The sequence below is a fragment of the Homo sapiens genome, chromosome 13 (genome assembly GCF_000001405.40).
Source record: "Homo sapiens chromosome 13, GRCh38.p14 Primary Assembly".
Lineage (NCBI taxonomy): Eukaryota > Metazoa > Chordata > Mammalia > Primates > Hominidae > Homo > Homo sapiens.
In genome coordinates, this window is record NC_000013.11 from 30,990,298 (window position 1) to 31,008,814 (window position 18,517).

An 18,517-nucleotide genomic window follows, 5' to 3' on the forward strand; every position below is an offset into this window, starting at 1 on the left:
GTCTACATAAAGTATGGCTAAAACAAACTAAAAAGACCTCCCCCCCACCAAAAAAAAATCATAACCGTAAAAATGTTTAGGAGACAAATAACAGAAAAAGTATTTGCGTCATATATTAAAAAGTAGCAATAGTAGTATTATCTATGCAAATATTAATCGTAGTTCATGTAAATCAATAAGAAAATAACAAACGCCTCAATGGAAAAATGGACAATTGTTTGTCACATTGGCAAAGATGACCCAGCATCAGCAAGGGTGGTAAAGGGCACGCTCGTGCATTCATGGGATGTGTATCAATCTCCCAGAGTTGCTGTATCAAAGCACCACAAACTAGGCGGCTTAAAATAACAGAAATTTATTATCTCATAGTTCTAGGGGCTAGAAGTCAGAAACCAGGCTGTTTGGCAGGGCCATGCACCTCTGAAGCTTATAAGGAAAGATCCTTCCCTGCTTCTTCCAGCTTCTGGTAGCCTAGGCATTGCTTGGTTTGTAGATTTATCACTCTAATCTCTGCCTCTGTTGTCACATGGCATTCTCTACCTTCCTTCTGTGTCTGTCTGTGTCCAAAGTCTCCTCTTCCTATAAGAACTCCACTCATATTGGATTATGGCCCACTCTAATCCCTCATGACTTTGTCTTGATTACATCTGCAAAGACCCTATTTCCAAATAAAACGGCATTCACAGGTTCTGGAGGTTGGAAATGCAACATATCTTTTTGAGGGATACAATTCAACTCATAACAGAGTGTAAGTTGGGTACAGTCTTTCCAAGGGACAGTTTGGCAATATGTTTCCGAGTTCCATTTTCATAAATATACTCTAATGACGTCTTTGCACAAATGGGAAACTTACATACCGGTTTTTGTTGTGATTGTTCATCAAAGTGTCATGGTCAGTGATTGTCTGGGACTGGTGCGTAAGAGTTAAAATAATTTACCAAGACAGGAATGAGTTTAGAAAGGCAGGTTTATTGCAGAAAGGGGAGGTATGTTGCAAGGATATAACGGGCAAGGCAGCGGAAGGAAGGATGTCTGCCAAGAGGCAAGGCCTGGAGGGGAGTTTTATAAGGAGGCTAAATGCTTGTGGACAGGATGCTGGGGCATAGATGGGCTGTGAGCTGAGTGCCTGTCACAGGGTGCCTGAGTGCTAGCGCGCCTTTTGCAGTTGACCCCATTTCTAGGAATATTTGTTCCTCTTTACCCCAGCTAAGCCCGTTCTTTAACTTTTTCTCTTAACTTTTTAGGGCCCCGCTCAAAGCACTATATAAAACTCCGGAAAAAATGTCAACAACCGTTATGCTCATTAATACGGAACCTTTAAGGAAATTCAGAATGAAACATTATGCACATATTTAGGTCTATTTTTATTGATACGGAAACACACTCTAGATATCTTGCTAAGTGAAAAAAGCAGGTTACAAAATAGTATGATCTCATTTATATAAAATTGTACATCTTTACATAAATGTAGAGCCTGAAAAAATGTTCAGCAAATTGGCCACGCACGGTGGCTCACGCCTGTAATCCCAGCACTTTGGGAGGCCGAGGCGGGCGGATCACGAAGTCAGGAAATCGAGACCACGGTGAAACCCCGTCTCTACTAAAAAAAAAAATACAAAAAATTAGCCGGGCGCGGTGGCGAGCGCTGAGGCAGGAGAATGGCGTGAACCATCTTACATGTAGTATTTAAAAGTAGAGCATCTCCACACTTTTTTTTTTAAAGGCTGGGAGAGGTCATTTTTGTGAAGTTTAAAGAACCCTGCACTTGAGGACAGAGAGCTGGGCTGGCCCGTCTCCAAACAGAAATGGCTGTATTGCTTACTGATTATGAAATCTCACATGCATCACATCTTATCTGGATTTTTTTCTTCCTATGCAGGTGAGGATTACAACACTGGAGCAGTTATTTCAAGGATTAAGTAGATGAACTATTTGGGAGCCACTGGCAAACTGGGAAGTGCCAATTCATTCTTCAACTGTGTTAGGCAGAGTTCTAGGCTCTGTGGATTCCTCAGGAAAGGGGATAAATGTACATTCATGGAGCTAATATGCTGAAGGGAGAAAACTGACAAACTAATACACAAATCTTTGCTATAATAACAAGTATGAAAGTATGAGGAAAAACATAAAATGGGTGTAATACAAACATGTATTTCATATAAATCTGCCATGTAAATATGTATCACAATGTCGAGTTCAGAAGTATCAAGAAAAATACAACAGGCTAAGGGCATAGAGGGGCCTGAGAGTTTGCTGTTTGAGGTAGGGTGGTGGGAGAAGCCCTCCCCATAAGATGGCACTGACTTCATTCCTGGTGGAAGTGTGGGAGGAGGGGAGAACCTTGGGACCATCTCGGGGAAGAGCCTTCCAGGCAGAGGGAACAAGCATAGGAGCCCTGCATGTCCTAAGAGCGGGTCAATGTGGCTCCAGAGAAATGAGGGAGACTGGTGGTAGGTGAGGTCCAACAGGTAGAAGTACAGACCATGGTGTGCCTCTGCATTCGGACTTTACTTTGAATGAGAAAAGAAATATGGCAGGGTTTTAAGTAGAGACTTGACACTATCCAACTTCTGTTTTAAAAAGATCACTCCCTACATAGAATATATTGTTGGGAGGCAGAAATGGAAAGAGGGAGACCAATTAGGAGGCTATTGCAAAGCCCAAATGAGAGTCATGGATGGCTTGTGCTGGGAGGTATTGGGAAAGAAAGTGAGGAGTGGTAGATTCTGATGGAATCCACCTCTATGGAGGTAGAGCCAAAGGGACTTGCTGGTGGACTCACTGCGTGTTTGGGAGAGAAAGGGGAGGGAGATGACTCCAAACTTTACCCTAAGCAGTTGGAAAAATGCAGTTAGCGTCTGAGATAAGGGAGGTTGGGGAGGAGTGGAACTGGATAATAAGGGTTCAGTCTTGGATGGCAGGTGGCACCCAAATGTAAGTTAGAATTATTATTGATCTCACCCTGGCTGGGCAAGATGATAAGAGAGTAAGCTCAATACCAAAGTTATTTTCCTCTTCGTTGACTCCCTGACATTTTCTCCCCTAACCTGAACTTCACAGGAACACCAATTACCTTCACATGTGATGGGATTCACTTACCTGGGGAGGAGTGGAGGGAAGAGGAATCTACCCTGGTACTCCAGTAACAAACCCTGGCGTGGACAGTGGAAGCTGAACCTCCACTGTGAGTAGATCTCATTAGCATCAGCTGCTCCCAGCATAAAAAGAGCACAATGTTCTTCCCAAGGCATCTCTCTGATCACTAGTGATTGCTCCACAGGACTGAGTGGACATGATTCTAAGCAGTAAAGGAGAACTTGGGAAGTGTTGCTATTTGATACCATGAACTGGAGAGGAAGAAGTTCTGCTTTGGGAATGTTAGAAACCTCTCCTGTTAACAGATTAGAAATATGAACACTTTCACACTGTTGGTGGGACTGTAAACTAGTTCAACCATTGTGGAAGTCAGTGTAGCGATTCCTCAGGGATCTAGAACTAGAAACACCATTTGACCCAGCCATCCCATTACTGGGTATATACCCAAAGGATTATAAAACATGCTGCTATAAAGACACATGCGCACGTATGTTTATTGCGGCACTATTCACAACAGCAAAGACTTGGAACCAACCCAAATGTCCAACAATGATAGACTGGATTAAGAAAATGTGGCACATATACACCATGGAATACTATGCAGCCATAAAAAATGATGAGTTCATGTCATTTGTAGGGACATGGATGAAGCTGGAAACCATCATTCTCAGCAAACTATCACAGGGACAAAAAACCAAACACCGCATGTTCTCACTCGTGGGTGCGAATTGAACAATGAGAACACATGGACACAGGAAGAGGAACATCACACACCGGGGACTGTTGTGGGGTGGGGGGAGGGGGGAGGGATAGCATTAGGAGATATACCTAATGTTAAATGACGAGTTAATGGGTGCAGCACACCAACATGGAACATGTATACATATGTAACAAACCTGCATGTTATGCACATGTACCCTAAAACTTAAAGTATAATTAAAAAAAGAAAAGAAAAAGCTATTTTCACCAGGCACAGTGGCTCACGACTGTAATCCCAGCACTTTGGGAGGCTGAGGCGGGCGGATCACCTGAGGTCAGGAGTTCCAGACCAGCGTGACCAACATGGAGAAACCCTGTCTCCACTAAAAATACAAAAAAATTAGCCGGGCATGGTGGCACATGCCTGTAATCTCAGCTACTCGGGAGGCTGAGGCAGGAGAATCGCTTGAACCCGGGAGGCGGAGTTTGCAGTGAGCGAAGATCGTGCCATTGCACTCCAGCCTGGGCAATAAGAGCGAAACTCAGTTTCAAAAAAAAAAAAAAAAAGAAAAAAGAAAAAGCTATTTTCAGTCCTTGCTTTTTAAAACTCTCATAGAATTTTTAAAAATTCCATTAGCTTGGATTACAGGCAGAGAGTCGTTTGCTGTAAAAATGGGTAGTATAAGGTAACTGTTTATGTTGTCAAAGAAGCAGTATTTTGCTCTTCAGGAGGAAGGTAGAGGGAGGTCAGTCTTGTTCACTGGGAAGCCTGACCATTTTGCCCACAGCCTGGCATGAACCATGGTGTACAGCAATGTGTCAGGCTCAGTGTGTTTAATGGGCTGTTGCTATGAAATTTTTGTCCCTATAATCAGAGCCTCTGCCTTGATAACTTAATTGCACTTTTAAAAAACTCTTGAATTTGAGTACATCCTGAAAATATCATGAGGGCTTTTGATTAATGTAAAATTAAAGCTCTTTCAGAAGCATTAATTGAATAAAGAGAACACTATTCAAAGAGCTGTAAGGACATCCCAAACCATTTGAAGACACAGACACTACAGTCATTATCTTAAAATCTGGTTAATTAAGGCTCTAAGTGTCATTTCAAACATTTTGACTTCCGGGTACTTTATATTTAAGTTTCTATCTAATTTTCTTGTTCTCTTGACCATTAGGAATCTATTTTTTCTTCTCACATTGAATCTTTTTGTTTCCATGTTAGCAGGAAAATAACTCTAGAATATTTCTGATGCAGTCTTTCAACCCATCTTTCTTACTTGCCAAGTGTTGATGAAATGTCATAATTAAAAGTGATCTGTTTCTTCTGTGGTGACTAAGCTAAAACATGCTCCTTGCTTGGCAGAATAATTTGTTTTTTGACTGTTGAAAGAAACAAATTGTAAACATAATATTAAGTTAGTGTTAAGATTGACAAACCATATACTTAACAGATTGGGTAATTGCTATTTCCCCAAATAAGGTAAAAGAATCCATTAAGTTATGGGTTAACGGTCAAGTGAACAGGTTGACTTGAAACCACAAGTACCATTTAAGATGCTTTTAGCTGAAAGTCATAGAAGACCCATAATGCCTAAACATTTACAAAATTAATTACCTTACAACATAAACTAGGTGGTAGAGAATTCTCCAAAGTTGGCTAATTCAACATGTAATTTAAATAGAATATTCCTCACTGTGTGAGCTTTAGTCCTCACATTCATCCTGGTTGCAAGATTCTGCAGCACCTCCATGCAGAAGCTCCCTCTGAGGCAGGACTGGAACTCTGCTTTCTCCTTTTTTTCACTTTTTAAAAGCAGAGAAACCTTTCCCCAAAAGCCACCCAGTAGACTTCCACCTACATCTGATTGGCCAAAGTTGTGTTAAATGCTTATGACTAAGCCCAAATCAGAGAGGACAGTGGGTTGCCATGCTTGTCTCAGGCCGCTTGATTCACCCACCGAGATGAGAGAGAAACTCCTCCTTTCATGAAGGGCATGACCCCCAACACCTACTCGAAGGCAGAGTTCTGTCAGCCAGGGAAAGATGGGCAGAATGGCTGCTGGGTGGAAAAGCATGTGCTGTGATTTGAATGTGTGTCCCCTCCAAACTCATGTTGAAATGTGATCCCCAGTGTTGGTGGTTGGGCCTGGTGGGAGGTGTCTGGGTCATGGGGGTGGATCCCTCATGAATGGCTTGGTGCAGTTGCCATGGTAATGAGTGAGTTCTCACTCTGCTAGTTCCAATGGGAGCTGGTTGTTTAAAGGAGCCTTGGCACCTCTTCTTCCTCTCTCTCTTGCTCCCTCTTTCACCATGTGACATGCCTGCTCCCCCTTTGCCTTCTGCTATGATTGCAAGCTTCCTGAGGCCTCACCAGAAGCAGATGCCAGCACCACACTTCTCATACAGGCTGCAGAACTGTGAGCCAAATAAACCTCTTTTCTCTATAAATTACCCAGTCTCAGGTATTTCTTTATAGCAACACAGAGTGAGCTAACACAGCATGGCAAGCACCAGTGTCTGCCTGCACAGTCTTCTGGTGTTCCTCCTATCTCTCCAGCTGCTCCCCTGTCAACCCCTTTGCTTAGTCCTCCTCTGCCTCTCCTCTAAATATCCTCCTGGGCCCTCTTCTCTATGAGTGCTCTCTGCTTAGAAAATCTCACCCGGGCTCTAGTCCTGTGGTTTTAAATGGCATCCACATGCTGGCAACCCTCCAAATTGATAGCCTCAGCTCTGACCTCTCCTCTGAGCTCCATATCTGGACACCTAACTGTCCATTTGACATCTCAACGTTCATGTCTCAGAAGCATCTCAAACATGATATATTCCAAACAGAAATTTTTATATTTCCCAAATCAGCAACTCCCCAAGTGTTTCCAGCTTAGAAAATGGCATCTCCATCTGCCCAGTTGTTCAGGACAGATGCCCAGGAGTCAGTCTTGACTCTTACCTTCCCTAATGACACAACTCCACCACTTTTTTTCTGTTCAATCTGTTATCTAGCATGGTGCTCCAAGGGCCCAGCCAACATCAGGTGCTCAATAAATATTTGTTGAAAATTGATTGAATGTACTTGTATAATATGAACCTTGACGGAAGGGTGGAAATGTGGAAGTTAGAAGGAGCATGAGGTTGGCATTCTGGTAAAGGTGTTCATTCTAAGATTAATTGAAGGCAGTGTTTACAATGCATTCTGGGAGGTATAATGCCATTATTCCTCCTCGATTCAAATGTAATCCCACCCATATTTGAACAAGACTTTCATGGGCACTAAAGCAGTGGTGGAGACAGAGTCTTATAATTTACTTGGAGCTTCTCAGATGCACTGGCCTCCAGAATGCACCTGGTGGCAACACCATGTTTGATGACACAGTGCACAGTGAGGACCCAACGTGAGTTGAAATTGTAATGCATGACCTGGATTTCCTCTCAATAAGGCCTGTGATCAGTGACTGCCGAAATGGGGAGCTGAGGGATGTTGTTCTTTTCTTTCCCATTGTCAGTGATACTGATTGCCATGATGTTGAAAAAATGGAAGATTCTATCAGTCAGCTACTGCTGCAAGGCAAGCACCTACAAAATCTTGGTGGCATAGAGCAATAAACATTTATTTCACATGCATCTGCTGCTTGGCTGGAGTGGCTTGTCTAGGCTGGAGTAGGTCTTAGAGCTGTTGATCTGACTGGATTTGCAGGTGGTGACTCCTCCCCATGTGTATTCATCTGGGTCCCAGCTAAAATGACAGCAGCTACCAGAGGCAGACTCTTCTCACAGTGATGACAGGAGGGCAAGTGGAAACTCCTTGAAACCTTTTAAAGCCTAGACTCGCAACTGGCACCCTGCCACTTCTGTCAGTTAGTCAAAGCGAGCTGCAAGACCAAGCCTGGAGTCAAGGGCAGTGCATGATGCCTTTTGTAGGAGGATTCACAGGGTTATAGGGCAAAGAGTATGGATATAAGGAGCAGGAGGAATTGGGGCAATAATTGAGTCCACTGAGTATATACCACACATGGGAGAAGACAAAAGAGAAAGCCTGGACTCAGGTTGAAGTGATGGAGTCCAGGGTGGAGCTGCCTGTCTCTCTATTCCTGGCTGCATCTCACTGTAATTCAGAGTACACCGTATGTTCCCTTTGGAATAGACTACCCGATAGAGTCTCCATCTCTCCCAAATCCATTTGCTATTTATTCAGTAATGCCTGGACTACTTTCCAGGCTGGTGCCCTGGATGTTGATTCCTCTAGTACGGTTGTTATGGGAAACATTTCATTTCACATCTGCTGACACAATTTGCTGTCTCTCTAAAAAAAAAAAGAAGAAGAAGAAAAGGAGAAAGAGAGAGAGGTTCATACTCCAATGGCTGTAAAGGATAAGGAGTAATTTATTCAGAGCTATATACAAATCAGACTATCTTCTTCCAGACAGAATCAATAATATAATTTTAAGCCCACACACATTTACAAACGCCAGCACTCCCGTGCAGCTGGGTTGCCATGGGCAACCAGGGCATGCCAGCTCCTGATCTGAAGCAGGCCGATGTCTCCCAGCCTTGTAAGCACATTCTGCAGACAGAATTCACAGAATTCAAGGGAGCTGAGGATGTTAGTGTTGGCTCTGATCTGACCGCCACACAAATGCATCCCTGTGATGGTTTGGATTAGCTCTTGTCTGAACTGCTTAGCTTTATTTAAACTTCTGTTTGCACAGGACTTCTTCAGTCTCCCTTCTGTGTCTGTGTTTCAGCAGGCTGGAGATGGAGGGGGAGGTGTGTGAAGGACCTGTGGGCAGGGAGGAGAGCAGGTAATGAGAGTTCCACCCACAGCCACTGGTGGTCACAACAGCCAAGGGTGGGGCTCAGGTCCACTGAGGGCAGGCTGGATGCTAAACCAATGGATCTTCCCAATAAGAACTGGGCCCGGTGGATCTTCCCAATAAGAGAGCCTGATGGGGTGTTGGGAGTGGATGTGTGTTGGATGTGAAAACAAGAGCCAGAAACAGGAAGGTAGGAAGGAGAGAAGAGGGTGGTCTGGCAAACACAAACATTGGGAGCAGGTAGGGACAGGCAGGTCCCGGTAAAAGGGCTGGGGATGGGGAGAGTGTGCAGGAATGACCCATGATGGTTGCATTTGGATATGTCAGTACAAACCTAAATGCACTGTCAAAGGAAGCCTGAATTAGAGATTTCCTGGTGAGGAAGTCACTGACCTTCACAAAAACCATGAAAACATTTAATGAAGAATGCAGAAATTTTTTTTTTAATTAAGTAGTATGATAAAATCATGTGACCTGTCCCTACCCAACTGGACCTAGTCTTGGTCAGACACAAAGAGGAACAGATGGATAGAGAGGCCTGGGCTGTATCCCACACCCACCACTGAACCAGCATAGCCTCGACCTGTAACAGAGGCTTCGACCTCCGTGTACACATCTGCTGCAATGGAGAGGTGCCTTGTGGGGGAACAACTGAGCAAAAGGACTTAGGGGAGACTGGGCTGGTGAGGGGACCTGTAAGCCTGGGGTTTGTGTGAGTTGGGGTCGGGGGAGACTTATCAGAAAAGTCTTTAAAGTGCAGCAGAAAAATTGCAGGAAGCACTTGGAGATCACCTGGTCCAACCACCTCATTTTACAGACAAGAAAGTTCAGATCACAAAAGTTAAATAATTTGCCCGAGGTCAGAAAACCCGAGAGAGGCAGGTGGAAGGCAGTGGGGCTGTACTGACCATGGGGCAGGGGGAAGCCCCAGGCTCCAAGCAGAGGGTGGCACAAGGAAAGGAAGGGTCAGGAAAGTAGATCTGGGATCTAGAAGGATCACGGAGAATGGCAAAAGTTAGGGGGCCCCAGAAACCACTGCTGTTGGGGGTCACAGTGACAGCGGACAACAGGAGGACACTGGCTAATGACATGGCCCTGGGCAGATAAAGGGGATGAGGGTGAGAAAGAGTAAAATCATGGCTGGACTTCTGAGTGTCGGCAGCAGGTCAGATGGTGCTTCTGTTTCCAGGAGAGTGAGGAACGGGAGAGTAAAAGATGACTCTGTTTGGGAGGCTGGGCAGCTGGTTATATGGTGGGATCGTTCCTAGGGAATGAGTCTGCAGCAGCTCCCAGCATGCTGAAGATGGAGGAGCCAGTCAGACAACCGGGGGAGAAATCCTGCCTCCAGGGAAGGCTACCCTGCACCTTTAGGATCAGTGGGACCCCCACCCACCACGCCTCACTCATGTGAGGGCAAGCTCCACTGTCTCTGGCTCCAGGGCTTGTCTCTGACTCTTATCTCCCTCGTTCCTAAATCCTCTGGCTTCCTATTTTCCAGTATAGACCCCCAAGTTCTGATCTTCTTCTATTAATCTGTGGGCACAATCACCTCTGAAGTACTAATCTCGACCATTGCCATCAGATGCCTGATTCCTTGTGCACACAGACATCAATGACACCAACATTTCTGCATGAGGACAAGACACGCTTTCCCACTGTCTGTCCTGAGGGACCCCTTTTCTGAGTAACCTCACCCTGCTGCAATGGTGCCTCCCATAGCTCTCCTGAGCTCCAGACCTTTATTGCTAATTTCCTGGTAAGCCTCTTTACCCAGATATCTCAAAAGGGGCTTTGATGACTCCAGCAGAATCAATTATCTTAAACTCCATTTCTTTTCTCCTTTTCTCATAGCCTCTTCCCACTGTGCCAGTCAGAACCCTGGAGCCATCCTTCCTCTCCCCAAGCCCTGCAGTCACTGCTGCTGCTTGTCTCCATCCCCACTGTCCTGCCTTGCTGCAGGTCCACTGCACTTCCATCCTGGGCTGCTGCAAAGGATCTCCTTCACTTCCAATCTCTCCATGCTACAGGGAAAATGGTCTTTCTCCGAAGCCTTGCTGAGATGACTCTTCATTTTCTTAGGAATGATGAAATCCAACCTCCTTAATATGACCTGCACTTTCCTTCAGGATCCCACCTCTACACATTTTTTGGCCTTATCTCTTTCCTTTTCCTGGCTGGTGCCAGAATTTCCTCATGCTTAATCACTAGCAGCGCCATGACTACATCCAGCATCCAGCTCATTGTTGCTTCTGCACGGTTGTACTTGTTCTGTCTGTTCCTGGAAGAACAGCCCCTCTTGTCTGCCTGAAAAACTAATACTTACCCTTCCAATGGCTTCTCCTTTGGGAAGCACCTCCCCACCCAACCTTGGCAGCCAGAGTTAACGGCTTCCTCTCCGTGTTGTTGAAGAGCCCCAAGGACACCCTCTGACATGGCACTTACTGTGGTATAAAATTGTTGGCTCGCCTCTCTGTCCTTGGTTTTGTCTTCACTGTCTCAGCAGCTAGCATGTTGTCTGGTGTAGGGTACGTTTTTAACAAATGCTGGTCAAAGTAAGATGATGGAGGAAGAAATGAGTGATGAGTTCCAGCAGTGCTCCCTCACTGTGCCCGCTCCCATTCTGAAGGAGCTGCTTTCAGTGTTGAACAGAGGCTGACTCCCAAGTAAACCACCCCCTGCAGACTAGCTGCAGCTTTGCGGGTACAGATTCTGCTAAGCTGGGATAGCAACAGTATTTAGAACCAGAAGGAAACCTAGGGATTCCTTAGCACACCTTCTAATTTTAGGAGCAAGGCTCAGAGAGTGAGGCAGCATGGCCAAGGTCACATGACTGGATAGTTAGAAAGCCACTTCAGCCAGGTACAATGACTCACACCTCTAATCCTAGCACTTTGAGAGGCTGAAGCCAAGTGGATTGCTGGAGCCCAGGAGTTCAAGGCCAGCCTGAGCAATATAGTGAGACCTTATCTCTACAGAAGATTTAAAAACTAGCCAGGCATGGTGGTGCATGCCTGTGGCCCTAGCTACTTGGGGGAGCTGAGCTTGAGCCCGGGAGGTCAAGGCTGAAAGGAGCTGGAATCACGTAACTCCACTCCAGTCTGGGAATACAATGAGATCATATCTCAAAAAAAAAAAAAAAGAAAGAAAGAAAGCCACTTGAACACAGAGCTGACCTAAAGTTCCTTGGTCTTTTTCCTGCAAACATTCTGCTTGCTACAAATGGATGGGCTAATTCTTTCATTTAAACAACACTTTTTTTTTTTTTTGGCTACAAAATAAGTGTTCATTATAGAAAATTATAAATTGATTGTTTAGGCTCACTGTAGAAAATAAAGAGAAAAGCAAAGAGAAGAAGATAGGAATCATGTGTGGACATTCCACCAGAAAGACAATTAGTTCCTTCTATTTTGGCTTTTTGGATTGCAAGGAACAGAATCCCCTGGAGTTGACTCAAGCCAAAAGGCTTCGTGGTAGGGACGCAGGTGGAATAACAAAAAATCTCACAGAAATCTTAGAGCAAGAAGCTGTCTCAGGGCTGGTCCTTATTAAGCTGGAGGGAGAGTGGCTTTGGATTCAAAGGATATTCAGGGACCCAAGAACAAATAGCTCAAAATTTTTACCCTGGAACCCCACTGTTTATACAACTCAGCTCACTCCACATGCCTGCTTCTTTCGGTCCCGCCAGGATACTTTGCAAATGTGCTAGTTTAAACACCGAGAGAGACTCTCACTGGTCCAGCCCATCTTTTCAATAGTCCTCGGATTGATGGACATCCTTTATACTATGCCCAATCAGCTGTGAGCTAGAGCGTCAAGGGCTTGTGGCCAGCCTCTTGTAGGATAGTAGGAGGCTGTCCTGGCCTCGATGATAATAATGATAATAGTCAACATGCATGGAGCACCTGCTACATGCCTTGCACTACTCTAAACACTGCCCACACGTTATAACATTAGCTTTCCTTTTCGCTCTATGAGGCAGGCACTGTGATGATCACCACTTGACAGTTGGGGAAATTAAATATCGTAAGCTGTACAGCTGTAGCTCTATACTTGACTGCCCTAGCTAAAAAGGTGATGCATCCATAACGCTCCCATCTCCTATCCTTCTCTCCCCCATCAGTCCCCTTCCTGCCAAGTCCCAGTGCTCTCACTTTGGTTGCCCCAAGTACTTCGCTTAAGTGCTCCACGCTCCAGAATCATCTCTACTCCCTCTCCCCTCTCCCATCCACCCAAATCCTGCTTCACTCAGTTCACCCCGTCTCTCCACCTTCCCTTTACCTGACCCCAGAGAAGCTTGGTTTGGCCTTTCGGAGTGTAGGGCCTGCCGTTAGTAGAGGATTCTTTCCTCTAGGGTAGACTCTGTGTTCTTTGGACACAGTGAAATTAAATACCAGGGCACCGGGCCGGGCATGGTGGCTCACTCCTGTAATCCCAGCACTTTGGGAGGCCGAGGTGGGCGGATCATGAGGTCAAAAGATCAACACCATCCTGGCCAACATGGTGAAACCCCATCTCTACTAAAAAATACAAAAATTAGCTGGGCACGGTGGCGCATGCCTGTAGCCCCAGCTACTTGGGAGGCTGAAGCAGGAGAATCGCTTGAACCCGGGAGGCGGAGCTTGCAGTTAGCTGACATGGCGCCACTGCACTCCAGCCTGGTGACAGAGCGAGACTCCGTTTCAAAAAAAAAAAAAAAAAAAAATCAGGGCTCCAAGAGTGAGAGTGTCCTTTTTTTTTTTTTTTGAGACGGAGTCTCGCTCTGTCGCCCAGGCTGGAGTGCAGTGGCGTGATCCAGGCTCACTGCAAGCTCCGCCTCCCGGGTTCACGCCATCCTCCTGCCTCAGCCTCCCGAGTAGCTGGGACTACAGGTGCCCGCCACCACGCCCGGCTAATTTTTTGTATTTTTTAGTAGAGACAGGATTTCACTGTTTTAGCCAGGATGGTCTCGAACTCCTGACCTCGTGATCCTCCCGCCTTGGCCTCCCAAAGTGCTGGGATTACAGGCGTGAGCCACCGTGCCCCGCAGAGAGTGTCCTTAAAGAGTTTCACAGACTATGTAGTATGGATTCCTACATGCAGAATCCAAGCCACATCCAGGTTTTACCACGATGCTCCCAGCCTCCTGCCTAAAGTGGCACTGTTAATCACCCACAAATCCTGAGCCCTGAAGATGGCAGTCCTCTGATGACAGGGGACAGAAGACCTGCAGTCCAGCTTATAACCTACAGCTGGGCCCTAAATGAGACAACTTCCTTTCCCCTGAGTCAAATTAGGGGCAAGATGAAATGAGCTTGCAAACTTCTGCGGCCCTATTTGGCAACCAGAGAGATGAGTTTTCCCCTAATCTCTCTATTTCAAGAAGATCCAGCAAGCAAGATCTTTAAACGGAGGAAGTTTAAGCAAGGGACTAGTAGGCATTATGTTCTCCTAAGCACAGACACGAAAGGGCAGAGTACTTGGGCATAGAAGCCTAGAATCTATTGTTGCCTCTGTTTCCTCAAGACGGAAACACTCATATGGAAGAACCGCGATCTCAGGCACCTTTGGGAATTTTCCTGAGCAGCCCCCAAAGTGCTGTTGTAAAATTAACTGTAATTAGGATTATTGTTTAAACAAACTGTCACTTATATCTAATTACCATGTAATACAATCAAAATTATCATGAAATACATGTCAGATTCACTTTGTGGTAGACTTTATGTGATTACAATCTTTACCTTCTGTGGATTTTTTTCCTTGGTAGTTTACTACTTACTTGTTACATTACATGTGCAGAACTAAAAGCATTTAAGAAATGAGTGGCTGGGATAGAGACCCCTTTCTTGTCCTGTTTTTCATTCATTATTTATGAATAAATAAGAAAGAAGTATTATTTTTATGATTATCTTTTGTGACAGGGTCTTGCTATGTTGTCCAGGCTGGTCTTGACCTCTCCCGGGTTCAAGTGATCCTCCTGCCTCCGCCTCCTGAGCAGGTGGGAATACAGGCACGTGCCACCGTGCCAGGCTCCTGCTTTTCTTTCTTTTCTTCCTAAAGAGGGTGAGAAGGTCTTTCAGCCTGATGTCTTCCATCTTGATCAATAAAGGCAGAGCGCCTATCCCCCTACCTTCTAGAGTCATTTTCGTGGGAAGGTGGCTGTTGTGGCTGCACAGAAGGGAGTCGCATGCGGGCTGGGTGGGCCCAGTCTCACCGAGACCCTGATGGGCCAGTGTCTCGGGTGGGGTCTGTGCAGCATACTGAACACAGCGGCGATCCTGAGGGACCCGTGATGCTTCTAGCCCAAACCTGCCCCGCTGGGTCTTGGCCGATGGACCAGCAGGGGCCGCCGAGTGCCGACCCCCGGGTGGGCCTGCCTCACCCGGCGGAGAATGCACAGCCACTCTGTGGGAACCGAGGAGCTTCCGCACCACTCAGGCCTGGCTAGGAGCCCAAGCGCAGAAAAGGTAGGGGCGCAGCCACATCGGTGGGCCAGGGCAGTCTGCCAGGCGGGACCTTGGGACGGGGCTGGAATCCCCTAGGCACGGCCAGGAGGTTAGCCTTCTGCCAATGACCCCGTTTAAAGCCCAGGTCCAGAACAGGTGCTTGGTGGCCTGCTGCGGAAGGTGGCATCCCGCCTTTGCTGCCTATAACTCCCCTCCCCAAACTCGCACACCTCCCAGCCACCCCCGTACACACATGGCCAGCTTCTGCGAGTTTCTTCCTCTAATTTTCCCATGCCCACCAATACTTCCCTTTCTATGCCCACTTCCTTTCCAGTCCAATCCCATTCTTGACTTTCCAGAGTGACAATCACCTCTTTGGATAAATCAGATTCATGCTAACAATGTTAGTGTATAAATAATTTCCAGTAATCCCCTGCACTTGATTTCAATTCAGCAAACATTTATGGAGCAATTCCATAGACTGGGCCCTAGAGAAAAATCAAACTTAAACAAAATCCAGCCCCTCAAGGCTTTACACAGCTAGCGCATTTTTTCCTCAAAAGAGTTGTTTTTAGGTGGTACCATAATGAGATTTTTAAAATTTTAATAATGTCATTTACATGTTAACATGCTGTAAGAGTATAACAAGTACATGAAATCCATTATTTCAAGATTACTTTTGTTTAGAGTGAGGCTAAAGAAGGTAGTATGTAAAATAAGTGAGGCTACTTGAAGAAGAATATTCAGTAAATGACACCGAAATGGCAAAATCTGTGCAGATGATGGACTCATGGCTAATTTCTAGGAAGCAGGAACTCAATGGGAGAGGAAGACTGTATCCAAACGACATGTAATCCTAACAGGGAAACTGAGAGGGGGAAATTACTTGCGGCTTTGGGAACACGGAAGGCTTCTTGGAGGAGGTAGCATTTGAGATGGGCCTTGATGGACAGCAGAAATAAAACTAATGTTGAACGGTAAGGTGGAAATGGATCATAAGGAGTTAAGAACTGGGGTTTTTTCCTTTTCCCTTAGTGACCTGTGCAAATAATATAACAAAAGAGGCTTTCCTGAAGGCAGGGATCTTCATACTGTGGGTGAGATCAATGGGTCAGAAAATTGATTTACTGGAATATGACTGGCATCTAAAATACTGACCAACAGTTACTGTCAAAGTGCAGCTTCCAGCATAAGCATAAGCAGTGCGAAACTTTTGTTTCCAAGTGAAGATGGAGTCATTTGAGTCCTGTGAAATGGTCACAGTCAAGGAAGTCTGAAACCCGTTACCCTGTGTGTGATGCACTTTCAAGCATGGTGGAGCCTCAGGAGGAATCTATTGCTGGTCCCCTCTCAAGTTGGGGCACACAGAAGTCATCTGTGTTGGCTCCACTTCAACCTTCCCATTCCCAGCAAGTCTTTTTTCAGTCTGCTGGGATAATGTAGGAAGTTTTGGCAGCTGTCAGAGGATGACAGAGCTTTATGGGGCATACTTCATGGCTGAGAGTGAGTTTTTAACTGAGGCCAACCTGGGTTTTTTGTTTTTTTGGGTTTTTTTTTTTTTGCACTTTATTTATCAACTAGATACAATACAATATTGAGCTTTTTTATTGCTATTTATTTATCAACTAGCCTTATTTATCAACTAGATACATAATAAACTGTGCATATTGAATGTATACAATTTGATGAATTTGGACATATGCATACACCCATGAAACCATCATCACAAAAAAAGTAATAAACATATCCACTACCTCCAAAACTTTCCCTATGCCGTGTGTGTGTGTGTGTGTGTGTGTGTGTGTGTGTGTGTGTGTTAAGAGCACTTACTATGAGATATACCCTATTAACAAAATTGTAAGTGCATTCAGTATTGATGACTTTGGTAGTATCGTTGGCTATAGGTGCAATGCTATACAGCAGATCCCTAGAACTAATTCATCTTGCATAACTGAAACTTTATAGAGGTTCCTCAAACAATTAAAAATAGAACTACCATATGATCCAGCAATCCGACTTCTGAACGTATACCCAAAAGAACTGAAATCAGGATCTCAAAGAGATGTCTGCACACCCATGTTCGTAGCAGCACTGTTGACAATAGCCAAGATATGGAAATAACTCCACCTGGTTTCCATCCTTTGCTAATTGGGTTAGCCAGTCTGGGGACTGCAGTTACCCAAGCCATATTGCTTGTGACTGGACTATGTTTGGTGGGGTGTCTCTGAGGCCCGAGGCTCCCCATTGCCAGCTTGGAATAGTGACAGGATCTGAAGCTCCCAGCGTGAGGTGTGTGTGAGCTGGTGCAGGATCCAGTCTGTGTGGGAGGACGTGGGATGATGCCTCTTCAAAGTAAAAAGTGATGGCCTCAGTGGCACACATTTAAATTCGCTGCAGGAAAATAAGCACACAGCAGCTATTTTTAATTTGCCTTAGAACATGCAAGAGCCAGCATTGCTCATAGAGCAAAATATTGGCTTTGGATAGAGGAGATGAAGAGTTTCTGAGTTTCACTTCTCACTTCTTTGCTGAGAGACACTGGGAAAGAGCTCAGGGAAGACAGCAAGTGGCTGAACTGGGCCATTTGTGAGCCGGTACGAGTTCACCTTCAGTGTCGCCACACTCCTTTCATCTCTGAGGACCCCAAGCTTGTTCCCCTAGCACCGCAGGTCAACTCCTTCATATAGTACTGTTCCCTCTCTCAAGGTCTGCTCCCAGGCAAAGTTCTGGAAGTTGTTTTCTCAATCTGGTGTAAAAGACTGATAATAGCTTGCACGTACCTTTGCAGACGTTTTTGTATTTCGACAAGGCTGAACACCTTAATGCCAAGCTGTGCTGCTCCAGTTGGCCTGCCCGGCACATCAGTGGGCAGCGTGTCTGTAAGGGGAGGGGCCTTTCCTGACACAGCTGGAGCACAGCATGTAGTAGCTGTTTATTCCACCTCGGCAGACAGTCAGATTTAGTTGACACTACTTAGAATTAGATTTTTAAAGCTGGAAAGAACCTGGTCGAATTTCCTTCCATTAAAGATAAAGAAACAGACCTGGAGGCCTGATGTCACTTCAGTTCAATTCAACAGGTGTTTTCTAAGCACCTACTGTGTGCCAGACACCAGCCTGACATAAGAGAAGCAATGAGTGATATGATACGGCACTTGGCCTCCGTCTTCCCACCCTCACACGGTCAGGCGGGGCAGATGCAGGACTGCATTCTTGCTTCTGCAGGCAGGTGCACTAAGAGTGGGCAGACAGACCACCAGTAGGGCCAGTGTTGGAAATCATTCTTCAATTTGCTAGAACTGTGAAGAATGACTCATACAGCACTCCCAGAAGGGTACCGTCATTGTCATATCTCTGAAATCTTGGGAAATAAAGTTAGATCTCAAATGTAGGGATTAGGGACACAAACCCAGGAAGTTCATAACTGTAAACTTCTCTCAATTCAGTTGAATTCAACAAACATTTGTTGAGTGCTTATTTGTGCCCATTA

At 45.5% G+C, this 18,517-nt stretch overlaps 1 long non-coding RNA gene across 1 annotated transcript, besides 2 other annotated features; it reads right to left on the minus strand.

Moving 5' to 3' along the window:
* Positions 1-4,864: 4,864 nt before the first annotated feature.
* Positions 4,865-5,960, minus strand: LINC01066 (long intergenic non-protein coding RNA 1066). The gene is made up of 2 exons (NR_189306.1): positions 5,757-5,960; positions 4,865-5,178 (listed from the first exon to the last, which is right to left on the minus strand). It is a non-coding gene; the product is annotated as a long intergenic non-protein coding RNA 1066 (long non-coding RNA).
* Positions 14,492-15,022: an enhancer, noted in NCBI's record as "H3K27ac-H3K4me1 hESC enhancer chr13:31578926-31579456 (GRCh37/hg19 assembly coordinates)". NCBI's record gives its function as "activates a minimal SCP1, AML or CMV promoter by ChIP-STARR-seq in primed H9 embryonic stem cells {active_cell/tissue: H9 hESC(primed)}" and the evidence as "EXISTENCE:reporter gene assay evidence [ECO:0000049][PMID:30033119]".
* Positions 15,023-15,553: an enhancer, noted in NCBI's record as "H3K27ac-H3K4me1 hESC enhancer chr13:31579457-31579987 (GRCh37/hg19 assembly coordinates)". NCBI's record gives its function as "activates a minimal SCP1, AML or CMV promoter by ChIP-STARR-seq in naive H9 embryonic stem cells {active_cell/tissue: H9 hESC(naive)}" and the evidence as "EXISTENCE:reporter gene assay evidence [ECO:0000049][PMID:30033119]".